This window comes from Homo sapiens, chromosome 6, assembly GCF_000001405.40.
Source record: "Homo sapiens chromosome 6, GRCh38.p14 Primary Assembly".
Classification (NCBI taxonomy): domain Eukaryota; kingdom Metazoa; phylum Chordata; class Mammalia; order Primates; family Hominidae; genus Homo; species Homo sapiens.
Genome location: NC_000006.12, coordinates 67,201,690 through 67,210,732, shown reverse-complemented (window position 1 = coordinate 67,210,732; position 9,043 = coordinate 67,201,690). Strand labels below are relative to the sequence as shown.

The following is a 9,043-nucleotide window of genomic DNA, read 5'->3' as shown; positions in this document are numbered from 1 at the left end:
GTAATTATCCCTAGTTATCATAAAGGGCCAGAATTGCTATTACACAATGGAGCAGTGATAAGTATGTCTGAGATTCAAATGAGTCACTGGAACACCTCCTGGGGCTTACTTGCTTAGTACAACAACCATAGCCTGTCAAGGTCATGATATCCAGGAATTTCAAACATTCTAGTTCATAATCAAAATTTAACACAGATTATATTCAATTACTCCTTGTGTACACAGGCATTTATCAAAAATGTATTGGAGATCAAACGATGAACTCACCTAAAATAGCTGTAATAACCAGCAGATTATGTAATGGCAAACCTACAGTTTTCTGAATATTAAAATAATAAAATTAAATATGTATGTATATGTGTATATATATATAGCAGAATTCCCATGCAATTATAAAATAATTCATATATTTATGCCTATGTGTTTATGTGTATAAACACACACATAACACAACTTGGGTTTTTTACATTGTATTATTTTAGTTACATATTACTTAGCCATGCAAAATCACGCAACTAGAACTAGTGAAGTCTGCAAACTCATCTTAGTTAATGAATATGAATACAACTTGTGATTATACATTCCCTGTGAAGCAAAAATACATTGGAATCAGACTTTCAGTGTTCTGTCATATTATCATACCTGTATAAAGTGCCTATTTGTTTTATCAACCCAAATTTACAAATAATTATAAACTAATCTCTCAACATGCCCTTAAGGGGAGCATCGACTTATATTTATTGGAATTTTAAAAAAGCATAGGCCACTTATCTAACGTTTCAAGCAATGTCTATAACAAATACATTGTGTTATTACATAATATATCAATAATTAGATATCTCATTTAACATAATGTAAAATTTGCTACAGAGTGTTAAAAACCATGTTTTTCTTATTCAACTTGCTGTTTGAAGTAGAAGACAAACACGGGCACATGCATTGTAAAGGTCCGTTATATTTTTACCATATTTTCAAGGAGAAATAGTGTTCCATCACGTTTTCAAAGAAAAAATAATAATTTAGGTGTGAATTTAAAGAAGAATCAAACTGTAGTAACATACATTTATTTATTTATTATTAAAAATAATCTGGGATACTGAAACCTCATATATATTAAAACAAAATTTGGAACTTAAGACATGAGGATTTTTTAGACCACATCAGGGATAATAATTCAAAATATTCAGAGGTCAGAAGACTGTAAGAAGCATCATTTTTCTTATAATATTTTTTCTCACACAAACTCCTGAAATAAAACATGATGATCTCCATTCTTACACATGAGAAAAATGAGACTGAGGAAGCGTGAGATAGGACACTTCTTTTTACATTATTGTTATTATTTATTTTTAGAGATTTAGGGAGTACAAGTAACAAAACTGCACTTGTACCCCCTAAATCTCTCTCTCTCTCTTTTTTTTTTTGTTTGTTTTTTTGAGATGAAGTCCCGCTCTGTTTCCCAGGCTGGAGTGCAGTGGCGCAATTTTGGCTCACTGCAACCCCCGCCTCCTGGGTTCAAGCAATTCTCTTGCCTCAGACTCCTGAGTGGCTGGGATTACAGACACACGTCACCATGCCCAGTTAATTTTTTTGTAGTTTTAGTAGAGACGAAGTTTTGCCATGTTGGCTGGGCTAGTCTCGAACTCCTGACCTCAGGTGATCCGCCTGCCTCGGCCTTCCAAAGTGCTAGGATTGCAGGTGTGAGCCACTGCGCCAGGCCCCGTACCTTCTAAATCTCTAAAAATAAAATCCAATGGATATTTGGCACAGTGGTGAGGTCTGGGCATTTAATGTACCCATCACCCAATTAGTGAACATCATATCCAATAGATAATTTTTCAAACTTTACCCCCATCCCACCCTCCCTCTTTTTGGAAAATCCATTGATTATTATTCCACTCTGTATGTTCATGTGTACTTATTGTTTACCATCTACCTATAAGTGAGAGCGTGTACTATTTGACTTTCTGAGTTGTTTCACTTAAGGTAATGACCTCCAGTTCCATCTATGCCATTGCAAAAGACATTATTTTACTGTTGTTGTTACCTTTTTTTAACGCCTGAGTGGTATTCCATGCTATATATACCACATTTTCTTTATCCAATCATCTGTTGATAGACACTTAGTTAATTCCGTGACTTTGCTATTATGAATAGGGCTGAGATAAACATATAAATGCAGGTGCCTTTTTGATATAATGATTTCTCTTGTTTTCTTTTTATCATTATTTTTTATTGTGGCTAGTAGAAATTATTTCTCATCCTTTATTTTAGGTTCAGGAGTACACATGCTGGTTTGTTGCATGGATAAATTGTGTGTCACCTGGGGTTTGGTGTACAGATAATTTTGTCACCCAGGTAATTAGCATAATACCCAATAGGTAGTTTTTCAATCATCAGGTAGATACCCAGTAACTAGATTGTTTGATCAAATGGTAGCTCTACTTTTAATTCCTTGAGAAATCTGCGTACTGTATTCCATAGAATTATACACATTTTCATTCCCACCAACAAAGTATAAGCACTCCCCTTTCTCTGCATCCTTGCCAGCAATGGTTGTTTTTTGACTTTTAAAAATAGCTATTCTGACTGGCATAAGGTGGTATCTCTTCATGGTTTTACTTTACATTTCTCTGATAATTATTAATGTTGAGCATTTTTATAAGGTGTTGGTAATTTGTATATCTTGTTGTTATTTTTAATAAACCTGTTCATTTTATTTACCCACTTTTTAATGGGGTTGTTTTTTCCTTGTTGAGTTGAGTTTCTTGAAGAATCTGGATGTTAGTCCTTTGCCAGGTACATAGTTCACAAATACTTCTTTTTTTTTTTCCATTCTGTAGGTTGTCTATTTAATCTGTCGATAGCTTCTTTTGCTGTATGGAAACCTTATAGTTTAATTAAGTCCCATTTGTAGATTTTTGGAGTTGATGTGTTTTCTTTTGAGGATTTAGTTGTAAATTTTTGGCCTAGGCCAATGTCCAAAAGGGTTTTCTCTAAGTTTTCTTTTAGACTTTTATAGTTTTAGGTCTTACATACAAGTCTGTTATTCATCTTGAGTTAATTTTTGTATATGTTGAAATATAGGTGTCCAGGTTTATTCTCCTGCATATGGCTATCCAGTTTTTTCAGCACCATTTATTGAATAGCATCTCCTCTCCCCACCATGTATTTTTGTCAACATTGTCCAATATCTGTTGGTTATACACATGTAGCTTTATTTCTTGGGTCTCTATTGTGTTCCATTGATCTATATGTCTATTTTTATACCATTATCATGCTGTTTAGGTTATTAAAGGCTTGGATGCAGTATAGTCTAGTGAATGTGATGCCTTCAGCTTTGTTTTTTTTTTTTTTTTTGGCTAAAGATTGCTTTGTCTCTTCAGGTTCTTTTTTGGTTCCATATGAATTTTAAGATGTTTTATAATTCTGTGAAAAATGATGTTAATATTTTGATAGGAATTTTGTTGAATCTGAAGGTAGCTTTGGGCATTATATCCAACTTAAGGATATTGATTCTTCCAATCCATTAGTGAGGAATATTTCTACATTTCTTTGTGTCTCTATGATTTCTGTCAGCAGTGTTTTGTAGAACTCCTTGTAGAACTATTTTAACTCCTTGGTTAAAGGTGTTTTAGGTATTTTATTTGTTGTAGCTATTATAAATTGAATTGAATTCTTAATTTTGCCCTCAGCTTGAATGTTATTGGTGTATCAATATTGCTATTGATTTTCATACATCGATTTTGTATCCTGAAACTCTACTGAAGTCACTTATCAAATCTATGAGTCTTTTGGAGGAAGTCTTTGTATTTTCTATGTATATGATTATATCATCAGTGAATAGAGATAACTTGATTTCCTCCTTTCCAATTTGGATGCTTTTTATTTATTTATCTTGCCTGATTGCTCTAGATAGAACTTACACTACTACATTAAATAAGACTGGTAACACTGGTCATCATTTTCTGTTTCAGTGCTTAGCACTATTGCTTTCAAATTTTCCTCATTCAGTATGATGTTGACTGTGGGTTTTTTGTACATGACTTTTATCAATTTGAGGTATATTCTTTCTATGCCTAGTTTATTGATAGTTTTTGTTATGAAAAGATGATAAATTTTATCAAATGCTTTTTGGCATCTATTGAGATGATCATATAGTTTTTCCTTCATTCTATTTATGTGACTTAACACATTTATTGATTTACGTACGCTTAAATAATCTTGTATCACTGTAATAAAATGCATTTGGTTGTGATGTATTATTACCTTTTTGATGTGCTGTTAGTTTGCTAGTATTTTGTTGAGGTTTTTGCATCTATGTTTACCATGGATGTTGACCTGTAGTTTTCTTTTTTCTTTTTTGGTTTGTTTTTGCATGGCTTTGGTATCAAGTTGATATGGGCTTCATAGAATGAGTGAGGAAGGATTCTCTCCTCTTTGATTTTTGGGAACATTTTCAGTAGGATTGGTACCAGTTCTTCTTTGTACATCTGTAGAATTCAGCTGTGAATTCATCTGGTACTGAGCTTTTTTTGTTGTTGATGGGAAAAGTTTTATTACTGATTCAAACTTATTAATCATTATTGGTCTGTTCAGAATTTATATTTTTTCCAGTTCAATATTGGGAGGTTGTACGCATCCAGGAATTTGTCAATTTCCTCTATGTGTTACAGCTTGTGTTTATAGAGATGCTCATGGTAGTCTCTGACAGTATTTTTTTGTATCTGTGGTATCCGTTTTAATGTCACCTTTATCATTTTTGATGATGGTTATTTGATTCACCTCTCTCTTTTTCTTGGTTAATCTAGCTAGTGATGTATCAGTTTTGTTGATTTTTTCAAAAAACAAACTTTTCATTTTGTTTGTTTTTTGTTCTCACTTTCATTTAGTTCTATGCTAACATTATATTATTTCCTCTTCTGCTAACTTTATATTTGGTTCACTGTGGTTTTCTAGTTCCTTGAGGTATAATGTTAGGCTGTTAATGTGGGACCTTTCTATGTTTTTGATGTAGGCATTTAACATTATAACCTTCCCTCTTTAGAATCGCTTTTGCTGTATCCTAAAGGTTTTCATATGGCGAGTCTTTATTTTCTTTAATTTAAATTGTTTTTTATTTCTTAATTGTATCATTTACCCGAAAATCATTAAGGACTAAGTTGTTTAATTACCATTTTTGTGTACAGTTCTGAGAGATTTTCTTAGTATTGATCTCTAGTTTAATTCCACTGGGATCTGAGAAGATACTTGATATGATTCTGGTATTTTAAAATTAATTTAGAATTGCCTTGTGGCCTAGTATTTGATGTATTTTGGAAAATACCTCATGTGCAGATGAGAAGAATGCATCTTATGTGGTTGTTGTATAGAATGTTCTGTAAATATCTGTTATGTTCATTTCATCTAGAGTTCAATCTGAGTCCAGAGATTCTTTGTTGACTTTCTGCTTCTATGACCCATCCAGTGCTGTCAGTGGAGGGTTGAAGTTTACCACTATTATTATATAACTGTCTATTTCTTTTCTTAGGTCTAGTAATATATATTTTTTTAATCTGAGTGCTCTGGTGTAGAGGGCATATCTATATACATATCTATATGTATACATATACATATATGTACATATATATAAAAAATATTTTACTGTTGCGGTTTTAAAATGTTTTCTCTGATATAAGTATAGCTACTCCCATTTGCTTCTGGTTTCTGTGTGCATGGAATATCTTTTTTCCATCTCTTTACTTTTAGTCTGCAAATGACTTTACTAGTTTCGTGGGTTTCTTATAAGCAACATATGCTTAAATCTTGTGTTTTATCTATTACATCAGTGTATTTCTGCTAAGTGGAAATTTAGTCCATTTATGTTCAAGATTAATATTGCTATCTGAGATTTTCTTACTGTCATAATATTAACTGTTATCTAGATGCTGCGTAGTTCCAATTGTGTAACTGCTTTATAAGATCTGTGAGTTTTTTACTTTCACATGTTTTTATGATGGCAAGTATTGCCCTTTCTTTTCAATGTTTAGAACTCCTTTGAAAATTTTTTTCTTCTATGAATGGTCTAATGGTGTGGAATTCCTTAGCCTTTGCTTGTATGGGAAAGACTTTAGTTCCCCTTCATTTATGGCGCTAAGTTTAGCAGGACACAAAATTGTTGGCTGACAAATTTTTCTTTGGAAAGACTGAAAATAGGACCCCAATCTCTTCTGGACTGTAAGATTTTTGCTGTAAAGTTTACTGTTAGTCTAATGGTATTTCCTTGATAAGTTATTAGATGTTTTTCTTTTGGGTTTTTTTTTTTTTTCTTTTTTCTTTTTTTGAGTCGGAGTCTCGCTCTGTCACCCAGGCGGGAGTGCAGTGGCTGGATCTCAGCTCACTGGAAGCTCCGCCTCCCGGATTCACGCCATTCTCCTCCCTCAGCTTCAGGAGTAGCTGGGACTACAGGCGCCCGTCACTATGCCCTGCTAATTTTTGTACTTTTAGTAGAGACGGGGTTTCACCGTGTTAGCCAGGATGGTATCGATCTCCTGACCTCGTGATCTGCCCGCCTCAGCCTCCCAAAGTGCTGGGATTACAGGCGTGAGCCACCGCGCCCGGCCTCTTTTGCTTCTTTTAGGATATTTTTCTTCACATTAACTTCGGAGAGTCTGATGACTATATGCCTTAGTGAAGTTCATCTTACAAATTATTTTTCTCTGGGCTTTTTGCACCTGAATGTCTAAATCTCTAGCAAAACCAGCGAAATTGTTCTGAATTATTTCCTCAAATACACTTTCTAACTATTTACTTTTTTTAATCCCTCAGAAACAACTCTTATAAGTTTGGTTGTTTTACATAAATCCCGTATTTCTCAAAGACTTTGTTCATTTTTTTTTCTTTATTTTTATCTGACTGGGTTAATTTGAAAGACCTGTCTTCAAGTTCTGAAATTCTTTCTTTGGCTTTGCCTAGCCTATAAATAAAGCTTTCAGCAGTATTTTGTAATTCTTTCAATTTTTTTTTTATTTCCAGAAATTTTTTTTAAATATGTCTTTAGTGAATTTTTCATTCATATTTTCAATGGTTTTTCTAATGTCTTTGTGCTGCTTTTCAAGTTTCTCTTTGATCTCACTGAATTTCCCTACAATTCACATTTTAAATTCTTAATCTGTCATTTTATAATTTTCTTTTTATTTAGGAGCCATTGATAAAGAGCTAGTGTGATCCTCTGAGAACATCAAAACAGTCTATTTTTCATGTTGTCAGAGTTATTATGCTGATTCCTTTTCATCTGGAGAAGATACTACTACTTATTTTTGAATTTGCTTTTGTTCGAGAGGGATTGCCTCTACTTTGAGGGTGTGACTCTAGTGTATGTTTGGTAGGGTCCTTTGGCTTTGGTTCTGAGTGCTTCCAGGGAACCAAGGCTCTATGAATTCTTTGGTTATGGATAGTTTTAGTATGGTGGTTTTCTCAAATGCTGGTTGTTTGTAGGTTGTAGCAGTGGTATACTGGGTATGTGAGCACAGTCACTGCCTCCTGCAGAGATGGTAAGGTGGATTTCTTAGGAAGCTTATCTCATTTCCCAGCCCTGTGCACTTCTGAAAACAGGTATTGTATTGGGTGGTGCAGGTCATCTTCCCAGCCAGTAAGTGGTGCTTGCAGGAGAGAGACAGCTGAGAAGGTAGCAGTGAGATTTATGTGTGATCTGTAAAAATTGGAAGTACTTGAATAAACCAGGTGATGGGAAGGACCATAGAACCCAGGGTTTTCTTTCCCATGCTGTGCCTCTGAAGTGGGTCGAGGGAACACAGCCAAGTTGGGCCAAGTTGAACCATCCTGTATCTAGGCTTTCCAATGGCAGGTATGAGTACTGACCTTCATAGGAGATAGCAAGCAGCTCTCAGGGCACTGGGGTATCTTTTCAGGAAGAGGCAGAGGTGCTTCTCTCACACCAAAGGGCCTTCATGGAGGAGAGAGGGGCAGGTCAGGAATCACAGCCCAGTAGAGGGCCATGGGACCCACCCACCTTCCACACCCCCAAACTGGAGGGTCTTCTCTGGCATCTGCCACTGGCAGCATGCTAGAACAGCTAGCCCACTCCAAAGCAGTCTGCATTCCGATTGTGATGCCATTCCAGGATGAAGGACTCCCTGTCCAGCCCTCAGGTTATAGACTTCCTGGTCCAGTCCTGCAAAGGAGGGGCACCCAGCTCCCATGCTGCAGCATGAATCCATGTCACACATTTTTTTTTTTCTTCTTGAGATGGAGTCTCGCTCTGTCACCCAGGCTGGAGTGCAATGGCGCGATCTCGGCTCGCTGCAACCGCTTTCTCCCTGGTTCAAGCAATTCTCCTGCCTTGGCCTCCCAAGTAGCTGGGACTACAGGCACCTGCCACCACGCCAAGCTAATTTTTTTTGTATTTTTAGTAGAGACAGGGTCTCACCGTCTTAGCCAGGATGGTCTCCATCTCCTGACCTAGTGATCTGCCTGCCTCGGCCTCCCAAAGTGTTGGGATTACAGGCGTGAGCCACCGCGCCTGGCCCATGCCACATTCTTCTCTTGGTTTTGACGATGGGGGCTCTTTTTCCACTCAAGATCAGATCACAAATCTCATCTCTATGCCCCAGAAGGCATGCTCAAGTCCTAGGAGTGTTACTGGGGGTCCTTGCTCCCAGAGCTCCCAAGATGGTGGCAGGCCACTTCCAACATGGCGGGGAGGCTCTTGTTCTCTGACCTGGGGTTCTTGGCCTCATGGATTCCAAGGAATGAAATCTTGGACCATGCAGTGAGTGTTACAGCTCTATTAGAAGTGGTGGGTCATGGAAGAGAACCATGGAACCCAGCAACCAGCGTTCAGCTTGATTAGGATGAACCCAGGCACTTAGCTGTGCGGGAACAATGGCAAGCCTTTAGCCCTATCCAGAGCAGCAATGGGCGCCTCGCTGGATCAGGAGCGCAGCCGACACCCTGCGATATCCAGAGGGGTGGAAGTCAGCGGTGGGTCTGCGACGGCGGCAAACAGCAGTGTTGGATGGTGAGCGAAAGCTCGGCTCAAGCC

At 36.8% G+C, this 9,043-nt stretch overlaps 1 non-coding gene across 1 annotated transcript; it reads left to right on the top strand.

Annotated features, from left to right (window-relative positions):
* Positions 1 to 252: 252 nt before the first annotated feature.
* LOC124900229 (small nucleolar RNA SNORD65) lies at positions 253 to 325 on the top strand. The gene has a single exon (XR_007059956.1). It is a non-coding gene; the product is annotated as a small nucleolar RNA SNORD65 (small nucleolar RNA).
* Positions 326 to 9,043: the final 8,718 nt, after the last annotated feature.